Here is a 24,260-nt window from a genome sequence, read left to right as displayed (position 1 = left end):
TGTGGGTGGTAGATAGCGCAGATTAAAGGAGCTCCTAGGATGCAAAGAAGAGACACTCTGAGGTCAGCAGAAACTGATCTGGTGTCACAGCTGAGAAAGTAATAGTAATTAGGATTTGAGCCGGTAAGAACATTTTGAGTCTGTAGGTTGAGTAGAGCAAAGGGTTGCATTGAAAGAAAAGAAATACTGACTCTAGAGGGCAACATTAAAAATGTTAGCTGGCATTTTTCCACTCCTCCTCCAGGGTACCATGACTGTTAAAGTGGAATTGAAATGCATCCCTCCCAGTCTGGGGGCCATTTTGATCTGACGAAGCAGAGCTACCCACTGTGCTAAATGTGCTGCCATTATTTCTCTGCCCTCATTCTTAGTTACAACTGCTTTCCAATTAATATCTTGGGTGCATTATAAGTTTGCTCTTGATGCCATTCCTTTAATTAAAAAAAAGGCTTAAATTGAACTCAGCAGTGAACAATTATTTTTTATAACTTTATAAATTTCTTTTTTTTAAAGTTAGCCAAGATTTACCCTGTTTCATAGATTCCCCAGCCCCCAAAGACCTCAAATCACAGAGCACAATTCTATTTTTTACTTATGTCATGTGATAGGTTTTCTTGAAACCTTCTGTTTGCTCCTCCGGGTCCACTCTCCATCATTTTCTACCTGCTCTGTCTTCTGGGAAACTGATTTATGTGAATCCCACAAATAGAACCCATCACTCTTGGATATGACCAATGAAAAGCACTGGCAGATCAGAGTTTGTTCCCTTATTTTCTTCCCTGTTGGGTCACCTCAGTCTGGCCTTACCACTCAACTGCACATCACCCCTCCAGACAGTGGGTGTGAGGAAAGGGTAGGAAGAAAGGGGGTTGGTGGTGGGTGAGGAGCTCTCCATAGAGTGTCTTTGTCTCCAGGTTCCAGTGACTATTTCCAACCTTTGAATGCTCATTTTTGTGACAGGAGTAACTAACCTCAAGGTACTACATTACCCCTGTAGAATTTTTTTCATACCTATTTCTTAAGGGTTTTTATAAACTGTGCACTTACTGAAGTCTCCTCAAATTAATCCAATTGGAATATGCATTTATTCTTACTGTAGTACTGATACAATGGGGAAACTCAGTTAAGGGATTGTTGACCAGACATGTTCTAGAGGTGACAGAATAGAGGCAATTGCATTCCCATTAAAATAGAATGGCAGATGGTAGAAACCTGACTCTGACGCTTGCTCACTGTGTGACCTTGGCCCAGTTACTAAATCAGTCTGTGCCTGAGTTTCCTCTTTAGCTGTAAAGTAAGTATAAGCTGCTATTCAGATTCCTTGTAAATATATAATGATGACAAGTGCTAAGCACAGTGCCCTGGGCAGAAAAAAGTTTCTAATCATTATAGATAGTAATCAGTTCAGTCATTCAGGTGTTAATGAAGCCAATAATACAGTTTCTATCATTGCAGAAATGGGCTCCGCTCAATCGCTTGGCCACTGCATGCCTTTTTGCACTCTTAACCCTGAACAGATAATGAATTCATTGATTCAACTAATATTTATTGATTGCCTATTATCTAGACGACATAATGTTAAGAGCTGTGGAGAATTTAAATAAGACATAAGTCTAATTCTCAAGAAACTTGTATTCTATTAGGAAGAGAGAGAGAGACACAAGGGGAAATATCTTCAAATGGAATTCTGTGAGCCTGTAGCCACTGTCTCAGAGTTTCAAATATTCTTACCCAGGAAGCTAAATGTCAGAGGAAGAGAACAATACAGTAGAAGTCAAAGGAGTAGATGTGCCAACAAGCTAGAATGCAAAATATTTAGAAAAAGAAGTGATTCCTTTGAGTCTGAAAGTGATTATTTTGTAAACACAACCAAAGATGATTGTGAAACTTACTTCCAGAACATCCACTTGAGGAAAGCAGGTGCAACGTCTTGCACAGAACAGACAGTTCATCCATTCACAGATTCTTATCTTTATTCTAGTGTTCAGTATTCTTTTTACAGAAGCTTTTTTTTTTTTTTTTTTTTTTTTTTTGAGTTGGAGTCTCTCTCTGTCACCCAGGCTGGAGTGCAGTGGTGCAATCTCGGTTCACTGTAGCCTCCACCTCCTGGGTTCAAGTGATTCTCCTGCATCAGCCTCCCGAGTAGCTGGCATTACAGATGCCCTCCACCAGGCCAGGCTAATTTTTGTATTTTTAGTAGAGACGAGGTTTCACCATGTTGGCCAGGCTGGTCTCAAACTCCCGATCTCAAATCATCCACCTGCCTCATCTTCTCAAAGTGCTGGGATTACAGGCATGAGCCACTGCCCTTGGCCATTTTCACGCAAACTTTAATGTGACTATTCAAATAATGACTTCAAAAAGCAAATATATTTTAATTAATTTGTTATGTAAATGATATAAGAAGGGGTACCCAATGTTTAATTCTACTGAAATTAAAGTTTCTCTTATCCCTTCAAATGATTTAAAATACCTACTCCATTATCATTACACTGGTCTGACACACATAAGTAACTTTTTTTAAATGAAGGTTTCACAGTTATAAGCCTCCATGCTGCGCTCCTTCAAGGGAGCATTTGATTGATTTACCTAGCATCTGAATTTTTGCCTGAGCAAAATGAGCAAATGTTGATTTCTTCACAAACAATTCCCATTTCCATACAATTTCAATAATAATTCATTAAGGATACATTAATGTCCTTAAAGTGAATATTGCTCACCTATTCATCGAGGTGAGAAATGTGAGAAATTGAAATTCTTCAAGAGGATAATCACTTCTAATATTGTGCCAAATAAGTGACCACTATTTCAACCTATGCATGAGCTATTTTAGTATAATATTCATAATTGCTCGTTTTAGAATTTTTTAAGCCCTCAGTATCTTTTGAACTTTATAGGAATGCATTTGTAATAAGGAAGCCAAAGTAAAGAGCCTTTGGGCTAGTCAGTTGGTGTTGAAGGAATCTGGTCATGCGAACTAGAATGGAACAATCATTTTTACACGGCCTATGGCTTTCTCTAGGGGTTGTAGTGGAGTTCGTGGGCCCAGCTTACCACCATTTCAAACTCCGGTGAGTATGCTTGGGTGTATGAGTTTGAACATTAAAGGTACATTAAACCACTCATAAGTAATTTGGCTATTCAGTGAATTGTAGACTTTCCTAGCAATACAGATAATTTTCCTTATATTGAATAGACACATTAAGGACAAGCTATATGATTCCTAAATCTACCAAAGATAATCTATTTGGGAAAGAAAACAGGCACAACAGACAGAGATAGACACAGATTTACAAATGTACACACACAGGGACATCCACGGACATAGACACACAAAGAGAAATACATGCTATCTTTTCATTTCTCAAAATGTCTGTAAACTGCCATGCTTTGATTGATGTAAAATCATATGGCAGGTTGATGCAAGACCTCGGAGATCTTGCATCTCAGGTCAGTTGGTTGTGAGATTTTACCATATGCTCCAAATCTATCAGTGAATTAGGGCTGTCAAAAAGTTTAATAGAGGCAGGACTTGTAAATTAGCTTTCTAGCCAGTTGAAGTTGAGAGAATTTACTGTTACTTCAGCCCCTTCCTTGTTCCATTTCCCCAGTAAATTTGCATGGACACATCTCCCCCACTATTTCTAACTTCCAACTGCAAATGCCCAAATGTGAACACAGCCCATATTTAAGAGGTAGTCATATTTAAACAAATGTTTTGAAAGCCTGTCTTTATTCACTACTGTAAGGGCTGGGTGTCCCGTGATTACATGTCCTCACCTGTGTGTGTGCTACCAAGGAGAGCACTAGTAATTTGCAGAAATAAAGTTTTGGAACTTTATAAGGGAAAAGGAACTTAGATAGAACATAGATAAGCATTCTTCTTTTAAAAGTGATGCAACTGAAGCCCTAACAGGTGAAGTGACTCTCCAGGGTCACGCAGCATCATCACTGTAGCTTCTTTTCTTTCAGACCTGAAGAGTTATTCTCCCACCTTAAGACATATTCAAAGGTGTTGAGCACCCTGCTTGTGATAGTCACAATATACTACATAATTTACTTAATTATTGCAGCAATTTCATGAGGTGAGCATAATCCTGTTTCATAGCTTAGAAGTTACCTGGCTGGTAAATGGACTGGTGTGAGCTGGATCCTAGGTCTCCGCACTACCTTGCCAGTGATGGGTCCATGCCCATTCGGCCTTCTTGGAGTCTTTGATTAAAATGCAAATACACCTGGGAATTATAGTCTTAGAAGCTAACATCCCAGTTACTAATCCTGCTTTAGAGGGGGATTAGTTGACAACTCAGTAAGAGTAAGAATTGAACTCAGAATTTGTGCTTAAGGGCTTGTTTTGATGGCAAAATGGCAGAGCATAAACTGCCTATTTCATAGCTTTGCCTTAAGCTGTTCTACTTCAGTCACCCATCAGCTGCCTGGCAGTTGGGTAGAGAAGCAGATGGAAAATTCATTGCCAGATAAGAGATAGGGCTGTCATTACTGAAAACTGAAAAAAAAATGAGTTCATCTCTAATCCATCCCCTCCCATGAGAACCCCATCAAGAAATAGGTTTGCCCTGAAACCCTCACAGAATGCCCATTTTCTGGTGAACAGGCAAAGGCTCCTCTGAGCAATCTCATCACTTTGTGGCCTCTATGATGATAATATATTTGTGCCTAATCTATAATTAACTGAGAAGAGCATAATATTAATTATTTTGCTCAATTGTTAAACAGTGGGGTGTTTCCCTCCCACATCACTCTCCTTGAACACTAACCTGTCAGACTCTAGTAATTGTTGCATGAACAGGTTTGGGTAAAAGTCTCCAAGGAGGACCAATTCTCTTGTTCCATTAGCGAGAACACATATAGATCATTTTCAGCACTAATCTAGGGCTAAAATCAATTATGTCTCTTGTATTTAAAAATTAAATTGACTCGCCATGGGAGTAGGATGAAGGAAAAATACATTCCTCCTATTATGTGTAATTACAATTGTAAAACATTTTCCTTCGAAATGTAATTGCTGCCTGCAGAGGCTGAAGCGGGCGAGCTTGAAGTGTTTAGTGAAAAGGCTGGATTTTCTTTCAGATTTTTCTTTGGGCTTTTGTTTCCCACCCCACCCCGGACATCTTTCTTCTTCTTCATTTTAATGCAATTTTAACATTGTGAGGGCCTTTAGGGCTTCTCAACTTTCAAAGAATCTCAAATATACTTTAGAGCATAGGGAGCAAAAACCAGAGTAGGAAAAAAGAGAGCTAATGATGCCTGTAAACTATATGATGAACATTTCAATCTTACTAGTATTTATTTAGTGTTCATTGTGTGATCAAGCTTGAATTACGTGTTATGGGACACACACACATGCACACAAATGACATGATCTTCATTCTCAAGGTCTTTGATTTTGATGAATGACCCAAGTACAGTTATATGAACAACATCATATTTTTAAAAACTGGCCAAGGCAGACATTCCAATGCTTTGATTGGTCAGTAAATTAGGAAATCACAGAATTGATTAGGGGTTTCTTTCAAGATTCAGTTATCAGACTTGTCTTCTTTTCTCAGAAATGCCACCATTTCTCATAACCACAACAATTCAATTTTAGTTGTATTTTGGTTACACACACACACACACACAAAAGGAAACAGTAACCAACTCTAGATGACTCAACTCTAAATAGAGTTGCTAGATAAATACAGGCCATCCAGTAAAATGTGAAGTTTAGATAAACAACTAATAGTTTTAAACATAAATATATCCAAACATTGCACGGGACATACTTATACTAAAAAAGTCTTCATTTACCTGACATTCAAATTTAACTGAGAGTTCTCTAGTTTTATTTGCCAAATCTGGCAAACCTTTTGCATAAAGAGAACCATTTCTTATTAGGATATTATAAGGTTTCTCCAGGGCCTCCAAGGCAGAGTTACAGCTTATCCTCAGACATAGACTAAAGGAGTGATTCATGGCACAGAACATTCTTTTTCTGCCTCCAATCTCTACTTCTTTTTATATATCTGGTTTATTATTTGCTTTTGCTCCAAGCAATCTTTCTTTGTTTACCAATGGACATCCTGGAAAACAGACATCACTATTTTATTCTCCTCTTCTATTCTCCTCTTTGAGTGAGATAAGCCTTGCTGTACAGAGGCTGTTTGGTCTCAATTCCAAATGTATGGGGAAAATATTTACTGGCTCAGCTTTTGTCAGTTGCTTACTCATGAACTAAATAAGTATAGTCTGTGTCATATTTTACAAAATGGTGATTTCTGTGAAACTATGTATATGGATGGTAGAATCAGTGTTGATAAAAGTGGTAATGGTACAAGACAGAAATACTCAGAAAATAATTTGGTGGCCACTACAACCTTTTAAATTAGTGAATCTCAAATATGTATCATCTTTACAGCTCATTTTGGATTATCACTTGCTGGAATGATTTACCTTAAAGTCTTTCATCATTTTAAAATCAGTTCAGTTAAAGTGCATATCTTCAGTAGTCTATTAAAACTAGCATTGCTGTCCGGGTGCAGTGGCTCATGCCTGTAATCCCAGCACTTTGGGCGGCCGAGGAAGATGGATCACCTGAGGTCAGAAGTTCGAGACCAGCCTGCCTAGCCAAGATGGAGAAACCCCATCTCTACTAAAAATACAAAAATTAGCTGGGCGTGGTGGTGGGCACCTGTAATCCCAGCTACTAGGGAGGCTGAGGCAGGAGAATTGCTTGAACCCGGGAGGAGGAGGTTGCAGTGAGCCAAGATTACACCACTGCACTCCAGCCTGAGCAACAGAGTGAGACTCCATCTCAAAAAAAAAAAAAAAAAAAGAAAAGAAAAAGAAAAAAAATTGGCATTGCCATTCAATTTCTTTTGTTCTATGTGTGACAGTATCACACTCCCCCATTGCCTTCAAGTCAGTATTGACTCTTCCCTTCTACTCTTTCACATCTAATCAGTCTTCCTAGTCTATTATTATTTTCATCATAATATCTTTAATAATATCTTTAAAATTTCTTTCTTTTACACGTTGTATAATTCTACTTGAACCTTTGCCACTTGTTATAAACTACTTAGGTAGTACAACAAGTCTTATAAATTATTTAGATAGTATATCAAGTCATACAGCAAGTCTTCTATATTCAGACACTTCATTTCAAAGCATTCTATGTACTAATTAGTTTTGGATTAGTGTTTTTTAAAAAACAAATTGCATATATCATCTTTTTCCCCAATTCAGTAATATATCACTATCTTCCATAGACTGTAATGGTAAACAAAATAAGCCCTGGTTTGAAGATGTAGCTACTTGCTCTATCATGAATCTCTGTGTTCATTTTCCCTACTTCACAGGGTTGTTGTAAAGATTAAGTATTTCCAAATGTATTGCTTATGGTTCTGGGCACCTTATTTGTGCTTTTTAAATGATATCTATTAATATTAATGTTCAAGGTTTTAACCTAATGCACCACATTTCTCACCAGTCTTTTTACCTGTTCTTATGTATGCAAACTTTCTTCTTGACAAAACTAACCTATGCAACATCTTCTAAACACAACTTGGACATTGCTAACTCTGTGTTTTTACTTATAATAAACTCCCTACCTGAACTATTCTCTATGTTTCTCTTTCCTTATTATAGTATTTTCTATTTGATGAGGGCTACTTTTTTTAAATTTTACTTTAAATTCTGGGATACATGTACAGAATGTGCAGGTTTGTTACATAGGTATACATGTAATGTCATGATGGTTTGTTCCTCTAACAACCCATCATCTAGGTTTTAAGCCCTGTATGCATTAGGTATTTGCCCTAATGCTCTGTCTCCCCTAGCCCCCAACCCTCTGGCAGGCCCCAGCGTGTGATGTTCCCCTCCCTGTGTCCATGTGTTCTCATTGTTCAGAAGTTGTGTAACTTTCACAAAAGCTATTTTGACAGTCCTAGCCCTCAGTAATATCTTCTTTCTTCAAGAGGTTTTGATATTAGTGGTCTTATTTTATGCTCATGAATAAGGCCTCTAATAATTTTATATTATTAGTGACTTTTAAAGCCGATATCCTATTATTACTAACTGTATTTCAGGCTTCAACAGAGAAGAGGCTGTGTTTCCTAATCTGTGTATGCTTAATCAATACAATAATGTAATTAATTAGTGTAATTAAATTTAATGCAGTTGATTAGATTAAAAACCACAAGGCAATATGAAATTTCAAAATCATTTCATATGCCCTCTCTAAAAGTAAAATAGAAGTGGGAACATCATGGCAATGGTCATTTCATAATCCTTGTATATAAGTTTATATATTCATAGAATGTCATTGTAGAAAGGGCTCATCACAGAGTTTTGAGTACCCTAAAACCATAAGTTTGTTGGAATCATCCTCCAAAAATTGCATGTTATTGACACTTCCATTTTATTAAGATATTTGTTTAATAAAAACAAATTTGATTCCTGTAGGTTCCACAAATTACAGTATGTATTTCTCTACTGTGTTCATTTTGACTCTGTTTATGAAATCAATTTCAATGAGTTTTCAAGACAAATTGATTGGCCATCAGTCAATGAGAAGAAGAGGAAAGGTTACTTTGCAAATAATTACTTTAACTCTTATGGAAAGACACCATAATATGCCCCAGTGATCAAGAAAAATGGAGAAAAAACAAAACTGTTTTGAGTTTTAAAAAACAGTGCTCTAACACATACTGATCATGAGACCTTATTTGGCAATAAAATCAGATCAACTGCACGTTAATTGTGCTTGACAAAACAGTAACAATTCTCTTCATCTGTGATTATTCTTTAATTTCTAGAAGGATATCATAACCATGGTAGAAATAATAACAGTAGCGTAGTACAAGTAGCAATAATAATATTTGTATAGTTAGTATTAATGAAATAAATAAAACAGTCTGTTCATGCCAATTGGTATGTGATTATAAGTGGGAGAAGCATTTCATCCACCCTCACTGTAATTTAGGTGGGATTAACCACACCTGTAGAGGCCAGTTCTGGTTGACCTAAGGCAGTCTATGCAGTCTCATCTCTCCTGTGCCAGTGATGGTGAAGACCTATGCCAATTAGTGTGTGACATTCCTCTGGCCACAGAGATGGTCAGTGAGTTTCAATGGGAGACAATCAGTATGACACTCAGAAACATATTTGATAATTATGGTATTTGACCTCCTCCCTCCACACCTTCTGGACATCACTGAAAAAGCAGATGGGTCAATTTGCTTCTGGCAACCACTTTGTGATCATGAGGGTACAGGGTTGAGGATGAAGCTAGTATTCAGATAATGGCATAGGGAGTACCAGAATTTTAGAGAAATTGAGCCAAAACCCAGATAGAATTGAGCCTGAAGCTATAAATCCTGGACTTTCTATCAACATGAGCAAACAGCTGCCTCTATTGTTTAAGTTAGACATGAGTTTATTATTACCTGCAATGAAAAACATCCTAATTACTGTATATAAGATTATATTATAATTTACAAACTACTTTCATAATCTTCATTCATCTTGATCCCCGTAGTGATCTGTGAGCTAAATGTATAGATATTGTTTATTCTGTAGAATTTGGAAAAGTTGGAGGCTCGAGTTAATAGAAATATTTTACTAGAATAAGTATAGCTGGAGTTTTAGCCCAGGATTTTGTAATTCCATCCCAAAGTTCTTTCTATTCTTTCTACATAACACCAGTGAGGGTATCAGTAATGTCATAAGCATAGGGAAATATATATATATATATATATATGTTTTGGGTTTGGGCTCTTTTTGATGAGTGTATTGGGCCAGTGAGTTGGTTAGGTACTTTTGAACAAAAGTGAGAACTTCTATAACTAAAATATAATGACAAGAAGGAAAGTGATAGATCCCGTCCAACTTTCTGTGAGACTGTCAGGTCTCTAAGGAATATCTTGTAGAGTTTTGTCTCTAATCTGTACCTTTCACCCCTACTTTTAGTAACACATGTATGTCTTACACATCCCCAAAATGATCAAAAGGCTTTTCAGTTAGTACTGTGCCTTTCTGTCAGAAGACAGGCTTAGATAAACTCATTAACTCTAAAGTATTAGGGGATTAACTAAAATGCAAATCATACCAGGAAAATTTGCATTTCAATGTGGAAGAATGAAGAGGATGATATTCACCTTAAAGGAATAAAGCAGTACTTGACATATTTCAAGTATCAAGAAGACTGTTTGGGGGCAAGAATGTATTACCATAACTTTGCAAACCACACTATTAGGTAACTGACTTCTTAATTTTTTGTAAAGTCTACCCAAATAGGGGAGTATTAGATTACCACCAGCTGTTGAAGACAATAGTGCCCTCAATGCAAAGGCATATGGTTAGAGACCTAAATATAGATATGGATATAGGGAAAGTTTAAAGGAATCAGCCATACATTATTTTAAGTTATCAGATAGTGGCAAGAATTTAAGTGGGTTTAGGAGATTGGAAGTGGCCACTATTTCAATTGTGTTTTAGTAATATCTTAGATTAGTATAAATAAAACTCATAACATATACATATTTACACACATATATAATAAAATATTTCAAATAGACTGAAAGTTATAGTGAGTATTAAAATGAAACAACTATGTATCTCAAACTTGTTTTGTTTTTTTAATCTTTTGACTGGAGAATCAGGCCCAATATGTATGTCTTCATCATCTCATTTACCTCTCTCTTCTCACAAATAACCACTACAAGATTTTTACTTATCTTTTACTTAAATATTTTTATAGTTTTACTACATGCTTACTACATAGAAATATGCAGTAGCATATTTTTAGATTTTTAGATACTCAGAAATGACCGTCTATCAATCAGGCATCATTTACCTATTTGTTTCTGTTTTTTTAACATTCATTTTTATTTTACTGTATGAACATAAGTGACATAATTTATGCACATATTTTCTTGGATTTGGATATTTAAATTGTTTCCAATGTTTTAAACTAGTGAAAGATACTATGATACATATTCTTATGCGCCTAATCTTGTGCCATTATTCTGAGGTTTCCCAAACATATACAGATAGGTAGTGGTAACAATTTTACTGCTTTCTGCAATTATAAATTTCTTCGTATTCTTATATTTTCATCTATCTATCTATTTATCCTACTTTTGTCATCTAATGGTGGTGAAACAGTTTCAATTTGCATTCTGTGATTATTAGTGAAATTAATCATTTTATATACGTTCTTGTTTTCTCTTGTGAATGGCCTGCTTATAAGTTTGATTTTTCCCTTGTTACCTCTTTTATCATTTCACTTTTATTTTATGAGAGCTATTTTATATATTTAATTACATGGCTTGTCTTTTACTTTATTCAAGATGCTTTTGTATGAACAGATTGTAAGACATGAGGGAGAAAAAAGATGATTTTGTAGTACGAAATTTTTAAATTTCAATGTCATCGAATGTATCACTTTTACTTCAAAGTTTGTGCTTCTTCTAATTAAGAAATCCTCCCCTACCCCAAAGTTATCAATATAGTCTCACACATTAAATAAATATTTGTTGAGCTACTGTTATATGTCTGCCATTGACCTTGGAGGCAAATACAGTCTATAAAGCAAACAGAAAACTCTCTGCCTCCAGGAAGTTTGCATTTCAGTAGAGGCAAAGACAAGAAACAAAGAAACCATGGTATTATGTAAAATAACACTCAGGTTTTAAAGAAAAATAAAATAGAACCAGTTTTACATAGTGACAGCCTTATTTCAGGAAGGGTAGCCAAGCAAGCTGTCTCTGAGGAGGTGCTGATGGATGCATATCTATTTGTAGGAGGTGAGAAAGTGAATTAAGTGAATAGAGACAAAGAAGGCCACTACATAATGGTAAAGGGATCGATTCAACAAGAAGAGCTATCTTAAATATATATGCACCCAATATAGGAGCATCCAGATTCATAAAGCAAGTCCTTAGCGACCTACAAAGAGACTTAGACTCCCACACAATAAAAATGGGAGACTTTAACACCCCACTGTCAGTATTAGACAAATCAACGAGACAGAAGGTTAACAAGGATATCCGGGACTTGAACTCAGTTCTGGACTAAGAGGACCTAATAGACATCTACAGAACTCTACACCCCAAATCAAGAGAATACACATTCTTCTCAGCACCAAGTCACACTTATTCTAAAACTGATTACGTAATTCGTAGTAAAACACTCCTCAGCAAATGTAAAAGAACAGAAATCACAGCAAACTGTCTCTCAGACCACAGTGCAATCAAATTAGAACTCAGGATTAAGAAACTCACTCAAAACTGCACAACTACATGGAAACTGAAAAACCTGCTCCTGAAAGACTACTGGCTACATAACGAAATTAAGGCAGAAATAAAGATGTTCTTTGAAACCAATGAGAAAAAGACACAACGTACTAGAATCTCTGGGACACATTTAAAGCAGTGTGTAGAGGGAAATTTATAGCACTAAATGCCCACAAGAGAAAGCAGGAAAGATCTACAATCGACACCATAACATCACAATTAAAAGAACCAGAGAAGTAAGACCAAACAAATTCATAAGCTAGCAGAAGGCAAGAAATAACTAAGATCAGAGTAGAACTGAAGGAGATAGAGGCACAAAAGAAAAACCTTCAAAAAAATCAATGAATCCAGGATCTGGTTTTTTGAAAAGATCAGCAAAATAGACCGCTAGCAAGAAGAGAGAGAAGAATCAAATAGACACAATAAAAAACGATAGAGAGGATATCACCACTGATCCCACAGAAATACAAACTACCATCAGAGAATACCATAAACACTTCTACAGAAATGAACTAGAAAATCTAGAAGAAATGGATAAACTCCTGGACACATACAACCTCCCAAGACTAAACCAGGAAGAAGTTGAATCTCTGAACAGACCAATAACAGCTTCTGAAATTGAGGCAATAATTAATAGCCTACCTACCCAAAAAAGTCCAGGACCAGGCGGATTCACAGCCTATTTCTACCAGAGGTACAAAGAGGAGTTGGTACCATTCCTTCTGAAACTATTTCAATAAATAGAAATAGAGGGAATCCTCCCTAAATCATTTTATGAGTCTAGCATCATCCTGATACTAAAGCCTGGTAGAGACACAACAAAAAAAGAGAATTTTAGGCCAATATCCCTGATGAACATCGATGCAAAAATCCTCAATAAAATACTGGCAAATCGAATCCAGCAGCATATCAAAAAGCTTATCCACCATGATCAAGTCAGCTTCATCCCTGGGATGCAAGGCTGGTCCAACATACGCAAAACAATAAACATATTCCATCACATGAACAGAACCAATGAAAAAAAAACACATTATTATCTCAATAGATGCAGAAAAGGCCTTCGACAAAATTCAACAGCCCTTCATGCGAAAAACTCTCAATAAACTAGGTATTGATGGAATGTATCTCAAAATAATAACTATTTATGACAAACCCACAGCCAATGTCATACAGAATGGGCAAAAACTGGAAGCATTCCCTTTGAAAACTGGCACAAGACAAGGACGCCCTCTCTCACTACTCCTATTCAACATAGTGTTAGAAGTTCTGGCTAGGGCAATCAGGCAAGAAAAAGAAATAAACGTATTCAATTAGGAAAAAAGGAAGTCAAATTGTCTCTCTTTGCAGATGACATGATTGTATATTTAGAAAATCCCACAATATCAGCTCAAAACCTCCTTAAACTGATAAGCAACTTCAGCGAAGTCTCAGGATACAAAATCAATGTGCAAAATTCACAAGCATTCCTATACACCAATAATAGAGAGCCAAATCATGAGTGAACTCCCATTCACAATTACTACAAAGAAAATAAAATACCTAGGAATCCAACTTACAAGGGATGTGAAGGACCTCTTCAAGGAGAACTACACACCACTGCTCAACAAAATAAAAGAGGACACAAATAAATGGAAGAAAATTCCATGCTCATGGATAGGAAGAATCAATATCGTGAAAATGGCCATACTGCCCCAGGTAATTTATAGATTCAATGCTATCCCCATCAAGCTACCACTGACTTTCTTCATAGAATTGGAAAAACTAAAGTTCATATGGAACCAAAGAAGAGCCCACATAGCCAAGACAATTCTAAGCATAAAGAACAAAGCTGGAGGCATCACTGACTTCAAACTATACTACAAGGCTACAGTAACCAAAACAGCATGGTACTGGTACCAAAACATATATATAAACCAATGGAACAGAACAGAGGCCTCAGAAATAACACCACACATCTACAACCACCTGATCTTTGACACACCTGACAAAAACAAGAAATTGGGAAAGGATTCCCTATGTAATAATTGGTGGTGGGAAAATTAGCTAGCCATATGTAGAAAGCTGAAACTTGATCCTTCTCTTACACCTTCTACAAAAATTAACCCAAGATGGAGTAAAGACTTAAATGTAAGTCCTAACACCATAAAAACCCTAGAAGAAAATGTAGGCAATACCATTCAGGACATAGGCACGGGCAAAGACTTAATGATTAAAACACCAAAAGCAATGGCAACAAAAGCCAAAATTGACAAATGGGATCTAATTAAACTAAAGAGCTTCTGCACAGCAAAAGAAACAATCATCAGAGTGAACAGGCAACCTACAGAATGGGAGAAAATCTTTGCATTCTACCCATTGGACAAAGGGCTAATATCCAGAATCTACAAAGAACTTAAACAAAGTTACAAGAAAAAACAAACAACCCCTTTAAAAAGTGGGCAAAGGATATGAACAGACACTTCTCAAAAGACATTTATGCAGCCAACAGACATACAAAAAAATGCTCATCATTACTCATCATCAGAGAAATACAAATCAGAACCACAATAAGATACCATCTCACGCCAGTTTGAATGACGATCATTAAAAAGTTAGGAAACAACAGATGCTGGAGAGGATGTGGAGAAATAGGAACGCTTTCACACTGTTGGTGGGAGTGTAAATTAGTTCAACCATTGTGGAAGACAGTGTGGTGATTCCTCAAGGATCTAGAACAAGAGAAACCTTTTGACCCAGAGATCCCATTGCTGGGTATATACCGAAAGGATTATAAATCATGCTAGTATAAAGACACATGCACGCGTATGTTTATTGTGGCACTATTCACAATAGCAAAGACTTGGAACTAACCCAAATGTACATCAATGATAGACTGGATTAAGAAAATGTGGCACATATACACCATGAAATACTATGCCGCCATAAAAAAAGGATGAGTTCATGTCCTTTGCAGGGACATGGATGAAGCTGGGAACCATCATTCCAAGCAAACTATCACAAGGACAGAAAACCAAACACCGCGTGTTCTCACTCATAGATGGGAGTTGAACAATGAGGACACACGGACACAGGGCAGGGAACATCACACACTGGTGCCTGTCATAGGATGGGGACCGGGAGGAGGGATAGCAAGAGAAATACCTAATGTAAATGACGAGTTGATAGGTGCAGCAAACCAATAAGGCACATGTATACCTATGTAACAAACCAGCACATTGTGCACATGTACCATAGAACTTAAAGAATAAAAATAAAATAAAATAAAATAATAAAGAACCAAGTATTGATTTGTTTTGCCATATTTAACTACATTAAAAGCTTATCACTGTTAAAAAAAAAAAGAAAGTGAATTAAGTGAATATAAAGAATTAAAGGGTTTCAGGCAGAGAGAACAGAAAGGGAAAAGGTCTAGAGACAGGAGCATGCCTGGCATGATCAACAGACAGCAACCTATTTTTCTAGCCTTAACCAATGTCATTCTTATGCATATACTCAGAATTTCAACCTAATCAAACAACTTAGCTTCGTGAAAAAAATCACATAGCACAATTTTCTATCTTTGTGTTTTCATAAGTATAAATCCTTTTATATGGGATTCTCCTCACCTTCATTTCACTTGTCAAAATTAAGTTCATTTATTCAATCAAAAGTGTCTACTATTTGCCAAGTAACTCATCAAAGAAATTGATTTTCTTAATATTCCAACTTGGTAATGATGCCTGCTTTAGATCTACAGAGACATTAGAGAATCTCTAATAGAATTTATATCTTATTCCATATTCCTTTTTGAAATCTTTCCTTTCATATTAAGTTTAAAATATCATAAGAATAGCACTGAGAGTTACTAGTATTCCTATTTCCTATGCCTAGTATACTACCTTACTGAAGGCTGGTGCTTGATATAGAATTAAATTTAATTTATTACATATGCAGTGAGGGGCAGAAATTAGTACTGAGGCAGTATGCTAATCTCCCCATTTACTGAGGTTTGGAAGTCAAAGTTGTTCCATATTGGTCATTTCTGTGGCTCTCCAGCCTGCATTTTCATCTCTTTTAAGCATTGATTGTCAGTGTTAATGTAAACATTGTGTACATGTATGGTGTATGTACCTTTACTTTAGGTAATGTATAGAACCTTTCTAACTACAGGGGGTAGTTATCCCATCTATTGTTGCTATTCTTGGGAGAAAGAACCAAGCATTAAGATATCAAATGAATGTCACAATTTGTGAAGCATTGAGGAGAAAATAAGAAGCCGATTCCATGATCAATGTCTTTAGATTGAGAATGAGGGTTAAGTGGCTGCTTGTTTGCCCCATTTTTCTTGATCATAATACTTCCATCCCCTGACACTCCATGGGGATTATTTTGGGAATGTAATGAGGTCAAAACTAATATGTGGTTGTAGAGGAAAATATGCCCATTTTTCTCTTTCACTCTTCCCACATTTCAATCAGAAAGCCTGTTTTTGAAGTACCTATGGTCCAGTTCTAATGATGTCTACTTACAAATTACAGTGTTACTAAAATAATATCAAGATTCTATAAGCTAGCATGGTTTTTGTCTAGTAAGGTGTCCTGGCTCTTATAACCATTAATAAGACGATACTGTTATGTACAGACTTAAGAGAAACCAGTTTGAAGTGACCCTCAATGCTTATAGCACAGTGGTATGGCACCGAGATCCATGGATGAAAAATTAATTATTTTAAAAGGAATTGGAGAAAAATGACAAACTTTGTCAACTATCCAATCTTGTCTAGAAACTAACCTAAGTAGGTTGAAACAATAGCAAATGCACACATAGTGGTTCTTTTGTGCCGGGTACTAAGAATTTAATATAGATAACCTTTCAATCCTTACAAGTCTCTATGAGAACATGTATTCATTGGAATGGCCTATGTTACTCGATAATAACAAAAAACCCCTGAAATTTAAAATGCACAGCTGTCACTGGTACATGGCAAGTCTGAAATCCTCTGCTAAGGTAGAGATTCTACTTCCTAGGAGGAGCTCCCTTGTATATTTTTCATGTAGCTCCTGGCTCCAGCTTCTCAGACATTGTGTCCTTCCATCATTCTTTGTGGCCATATTTATTTACATTGTGCCTCAAAATAATGCTTCCTTAGAACTGAGTAATTTTGTTAGTTCATTTGATGCCTGTGGATTTTGGCCTAAGATTGTTTTAAATCTCAAAACTTCAGTGTCTTTAGTCCCAGCTGTTGCTTTGTTTGTTTAAATTATATCATGATCCCAAGACACCACATTAAAGACCTTCCTTAAATCAGACTTTGATAAGAAAAAAAAATGCCCTTCTGCTATGGAGAAGCTATGAATACTGTATTGAGTTAGTGTTTCTCCTTACCATGGTAAGAAATAAACTCAGCTTTGTTTTAGTCACAAAATTAAAAAAATAATAATAATTTAGAGTATTTAGCATTTGACAGAACTTTGCCCCAAACATGGTTTCTTCCAATTATTATAAAATGATAGAGAATGTTTGATTTTTCCATCTATTTTCACCTAACTGAGATTTAAAGAAATAACTATGTCAGGATGTCAGGGGGAAAAAATGTAAGCATGCCTATTGTCTTACCACAATGAATGGAATCAAGCAGATAAGAAGCCAACAATTTTTTTAGGAGTTTGGCATTAACAAAGCAACAGCTGGAACTAAAGAAGCTGAAGGTTTGAGACTTAAAACAATCTTTGTCTCATGCCTGTAATCCCAGCACTTTGGGAGGCCGAGGTGGGCGGATCACCTGAGGTCAGGAGTTTGAGATCAGCCTGGCCAACATGGTGAAACCCTGTCTATACTAAAAATACAAAAATTAGTCAGGCATGGTGGTGGGCGCCTGTAATCCAGCTACTCGGGAGGCTGAGACAGGAGAGTCACTTGAACCCGGGCGGCTGAGGTTGCAGTGAGCCGAGGTTGCACTACTGCACTCCAGCCTGGGCAACAAAGAGCGAAATTCCGTCTCAGAAAACAAACAAACAAACAAAACTCCAAAACAATTTTAGGCCAAAACGCACAGGCATAAAGTGAACTAAGAAAATCACTCAGTTCTAAGGAAGCATTACTCTGAGGCACAATATAAATAAATATGGCCACAAAGAATGATGGAAGGATACAATCTCCAAGAAGCTGGAGCCAGGAGCTACATGAGGTGAAGATTTTGAGGCAAGGAATTCAAAGAGTCTTAAAGGTATAACTGTTGTTTTATTATTTATACTAAAGGTATAACTGTTGTTTTATTATTTATACTAAAAAGTTGATGGATCTTTCCAAAATTTTCTAGAATGGATGATAACAAATATTGTAAATTTTTTTTTTCTGTGTTAAGAGTTTCCTAAAGAATAGTAAAGCTGTATTTATGTAGACAGTAAGCTTTGGTGAATGAATATCAATTCTCAAGTCATGTGGCATAATATAAAAAATATATACTTTGGTTTTAATTAGGCCAGTGCTGATTTTTCAATGATTTTTAATTATATGAATAATTTATGTTGCCTTTAATAATTAAATAAAACACAATAAAAATATAATTACCTGTAATCTCACTTTCTGTCAATTTGGTAGTACATACAAAGTCTCTTTTTTTTTCTTCTAGGCAAAACAAAAAATACTGTGTAAAAAATAAATACTTTCTCTTTTCACTTCAAGGCATTTTTGTGTGTCATTTAATTTCTGTAATTACATTTGACCCTGGTACTTAAAACCTGTTTGATTTTGGAAAAATTGTTAATCTCTATGTTATTTTCATGTGTAATATGGAAAGAACTTTGCAGAGGTCCTCTCCGTGGATTAAATAGTATGATATCAGCGAAGTACCCAGAAATGTCTGACACCAATCGGCTAAAGTAAATGTTGATACTCTTCCATTTCTATATGCTTTCTGAGGAAATCTGTTCGTATCCACACAGGGCCAGCCAAAACTTATGTAAACATGAAGAGAGAAAAAAAAAAAAGGACAAGCTAAAATGTTCTCATGAATAGCTATGACTGCTAGTCTATTATTAGGTGTCATAGAGGCACCAATCTTGCATGTTTTACTCTGGCCAGACTGACATAATGTTCATGTGCTGAGGACAATATGAGACCCAGTCACCTGATTTTATCTGGAATTAATTATACTGGGCTTGTGGCCTCCTTTCCTGCTTTGTATTTGTGTTCTAGTGGGAGCTGGGGCGCCATGTTATTAATCATATTCCACTTGGCTGAGGAACTTCCACGTTGCAGTATCTTTTTATTTTACCTGGGGAAAGATCTTTACATCAGTGGCCTATATTCTCTGGTAGACCGTGGGGAACTACTCAAAAAATATTCACCAAGGAGAGCTCTATATCTTTCCACTAAGCCTTGAGTATTACTTTTTAAAATATACTTTATTTTTATTTAATTAATTAATTAATTAATTTTCCAAGACAGAGTTTTGCTCTCATCTCCCAGGCTGGAGTACAGTGGCATGACCTCTGCTCACTGCAAACTCCGCCTCCTGGGTTCAAGTGATTCTCCTGCCTATTGCCAAAAAGACACCCAATGTAAGGGTCAGTCCCTTCTAACTCTGTTATATGTTATATAGCATCTTCTTCTGTTTTACGATAGCCTGTGATATTATGATATTTAATCTCTGGCATGTCTTATAACTAACAGCCTTGAAGATTTGACTTATGGTACAATGGACATATTGTTTCAGGAGTTTCTCAGTTTGGCTGCCTTTCTTGGCTTTCCTAAGCTATGGAATAAAACCCTGAAAACCTAAATTTATTACAAGTGGCAACAGATGACTTGGCTGTTTTCTCCATTCCAGTAAGACGTCAGAGGAGATTTGAAATTTGCCTTAGTAGGAGACAGCTATTAAAGTAGCTTGTTTCTCGTACTAGTTTTGCTGAATCTCTAAAGAGTTCTTTGAATTTGGACTGGGTTGATGTTATTAAATTTCTCATAAAATATCAGGTAAATGCCAATTACATGGTTAGGGTAAGTAATTAGATTTCTTTAGTGGTAAAATAAGAAAAGAGAAGTATCCTTAGAGGCTATATTAGTCTGTTTTCACACTGCTATACACACATACCCAAGACTGGGTAATTTATAAAGAAAAGAGGTTTAATTGACTCACAGTTCTGCAGGACTAGGGAGGCCTCAGGAAACTTACAATCATGGTGGAAGGCAAAGGAGAAGCAAAGACCTTCACATGGTGACAGGATAGAGGAAGGAGGAGTGAAGGGGGAAGAGCCCCTTATAAAACTATCAGATCTCATGAGAACTCACTCACTATCACGAGGTCAGCATGGGGGAAACAGCACCCATGATCAAATTACCTCCACCTGTTCTCTCCCTTGACATGTGGGGATTATGGGGATGATAATTCAAGATGAGATTTGGGTGAGGACACAAAGTTTAACCATATCATATGCAAAGGGAACACAATGGAAAGAGTGAACTATAGTAAAGTCCAAAGAGGGAAATCAAGTCACTTGCTGGTGAGAGCAAAATTAACAAATCTTGCAAGGGCAGAGGATGGAATCTTGGTCTACATGGAGGATATAAAACTTCTTAGTCCTCTTGGGGAGAGAATTAATAACAGTAGGTTGAAAAAAGCTGGAGAGGGAGAGAATGAGATAATGATGGGAGAAGAGATGAGTTTGAGAGTCATTGTTTTGCCTGGCTGGGTCCAAATGCCAGGGACAAACTGAACACATCTAAGCAACTGTCCACAGATGAGCCAACTTAAAACCGAGTAGATTTTTACTAATGACATAGAAGTATATATGTTCAGATGGGGGATGCTCATTTAGTGGAGAGTAAGAAAGCCTACATTACATTTTCTGCCATCAAAGACTGTAGGATAAGGGTTATCTACCTTGTTTGCCTATTAGAATCACATGTAGACTTTTTAAAACACTGATTGTGGGGTCCCACCTCAAGAGATTCTGACTTAATTGGTCTGGTGTGGGGACTGAAAATCTCCACCTGTTAATAGGCTCCCAGGTGATTCCAATATGCAGCCAAGGCTGGCAGCTATAATCTAGAAGGAAGGTTGACTCAAATTAACTCTATGAGCACAAACCTCCGCAGAGAGGAATTACACTCTGTCTTCTGTGGGGATATAAATTTTACGGATATAAATTTTATCAGATTTTTCACATAGCCAAATAGACTTCAGGCTCTCAATCAGTTTTAATGTAATAGATATATTTCAGGCAATATTAAGTAGACCAATAGTCTATCTTGATTCAACTAGCTGGATAATTATTCAGTTGTTCAATTCACTAGGCAGAATCTTAAACCATATAGAAGAGTAGCTATATTTTTAAAAGATTGGTAGTGCCCAATAATGAAAAAGAAATTGCTAGGGCCTATTGTTTTAATTGATTAATATGATGAAATGATATAACCTAGGCTTTTAAGAAATATTTATAGCTTGTTCTCATATCCTGAAAATATTCTGACCTAGAAAAGTTTATGGGTTTGAATTGTTCAATAATGAAAGACAATGAAGTGAAGACAACATCATATAGCTCATTTACCTCCTCATTGTGTCTTAGAAAACTGAAATAATCTTAAATGAAGATTCCACAGCCTTTCCTGGTTATGACACATGAATCTCACTTTCACTGAGTTTCTACTTGAAGAGCCAGTGATGGTGTTTAGGGTCTTATCTCACACACACACACACACACACACACACACACACGATGAGTCCTATGCGGATGCATTTTTCAGTCCATTAAAACTTTATTAATTTGAGAGACAGCATGGTAGAACTGGACTGGAACCTGGAGAACTAAATTTTGGTACCAGCTTGTATCATTGAAGTGGCTTTACTGGGCCTCTTAATCAGTTAAAGTCTACCTTTCTTACTTATAAAACTGGGATAAATAAGACTTGTCCTGCCTGTCTAGCAAGTTTCTGTGAGGAACAAAACCACAGCTCAATAGTTACCGAAGACTTTTTTCTACAGTTCAGATTGGTTTTATTTACTCCTGATCTTCTTTGTGCTAGGCATTATACTCCATCTGGGAATTTATAGAAGAATAAGATGCAACACAATTTTTGTAAAACTTCACAGTCATCTTCATAGAAGAATAAGACATAGTTCATATTTTGGAAAAGTTTATCATCAATATCTGCAGTGTGAGATACATCTGCTCGCTGATACCGCCTAACCGTGAAAGACAATTTATTAGTAGCTCCATTCCCATTAGGAAGTAATGCCTGTAATTAATCTTAGTGGCCCTTGGTTCTCTACCTTGTCAATCCTGAGTCCCTTTGCGTCTTTGGTCCATTACGTATATTCTACTCTCAAACTTCAATTGTGTAAGCTGAATTTATAAAATTAATGATCTTTTGTCTCTTGTGTTGCACACTAGATTCCTACTGGGATGAAATTACTGTCCAAAGCTCCCGCCTATAATGTGGGGCCTTGACAATTACACTAGCATTTACTAGTTTACTTTTTCCAAGAATTAGGAGTTAGTTTCCAGGGCTTAGTGAAAATTAAAAATGTGGGACTAGTTCAAATACTATTAAGGGATTGAAGATGGCCACAGCTGAGCACTAAACCAAATGCTGAGCACTTCTGAGCCACAAAGCTCTGTGCAACTCTCGTGAACCTAGAGATGCTACATAATCCAGTTACTGTCTTGGGTCCTTTTCAAAATATATCCAGAGTTTTCTGTAAGTTTGAAAAGAGATGATATCACCCACCTAATTATATAAATTCTCATACTCAAAGCTCCTAGTTACCTTGGGGTTAACTACTGGACTGGATCTTTTGTTTCCGAAATTCTCCTGGATATTGCCTAATTCCCTCAGAATAGCTGAAATGTTGGTATTTTTCTTAAAAACATGACCTCACACAGAATTAGTTCACCTCTTCCTGGCCCAGCCCCACACATTCCCACTGCTATAGGAGAGTACCATGTGCTCTGTTGTCAACTCAGAGTTTTCTAAGGGGCTCACTCTCGCCCAAGGAAAGACATGGCACTCCTCCCAAACACTATCCACTGTAGTGTACTACCCCATGTAGAGTACTACCTGAAGGCTTACAAGTATCTGAGTGTGCAGCATGCAGCAGGTCAGCTTTCTCTTTGGATAGCTAAGCAGTTTAGCTCAAGAATTGCAGTGTTTCCACTCAAATAAAGACCACACCTCCAGTAAGTGAGATCTTAAAGTAGGATCAGAGTTAAGTCCCAATGCACTGAATGGCAGGCAACTGGGCCAGAAGACTTTGGACCAGAAGTGTGGGATTTTCTCTGATCCAAGAATGATTTGGGCATTGGGATAGCGCTCCTCACAGAGATCCTTGCTACAGTGTCTGGGTCCTGAAACTTCCAGGCCGAAGATGAACCATAAGGAAACTTTCAGGGATGGGGCCTAGACATTCAAAGCCATGAACTTGGTGTCTTTGTATCCCTATTTTCTCTCAGAATTCCCTCCTGTACTGCCAAGTCTTTTTTCTCCTTTTATCCACATTATGAGCTTCAAATACACTAAAAGGCACCTCAGTCCACCATCCTTCCAAAAATAAATATTAAATAAAATAAAACTCATTTGCTCTTCCTTGCAGATAGTCATTAGAAACTTGATGGTCAATATTTTATTTCTAAAAGGTAGACAAATACTTTTATTTCCTCCAGGTTTCTATTCTTCACATATAATGAAGTTCAGATTGAAATTTCCAATTCAAATTCAGGAGTACGGAGTTTTCACTTAACTTCTTCTAGGTTACATTACTTTTCTTCCATACAGAGAATATGTGTTCTCAAGGACAATGGGAATAATAGAATATCCCATCATTATTCATTTACTTTGTCTCACTTTTCACATACAACAGGCTCTGAATAACAATTCTAACACTATCACAATTAATGATGAGTATAGTAACAGTTAAAATTTTATTTTGGCTTTTGTTATATCTTTGCTCATGCTTTTCCCTTTCTCTTCCAAGTTTTGTATTTA

This window comes from Homo sapiens, chromosome 18 (assembly GCF_000001405.40).
Source record: "Homo sapiens chromosome 18, GRCh38.p14 Primary Assembly".
Lineage (NCBI taxonomy): Eukaryota > Metazoa > Chordata > Mammalia > Primates > Hominidae > Homo > Homo sapiens.
This window is presented reverse-complemented; position numbering follows the sequence as displayed.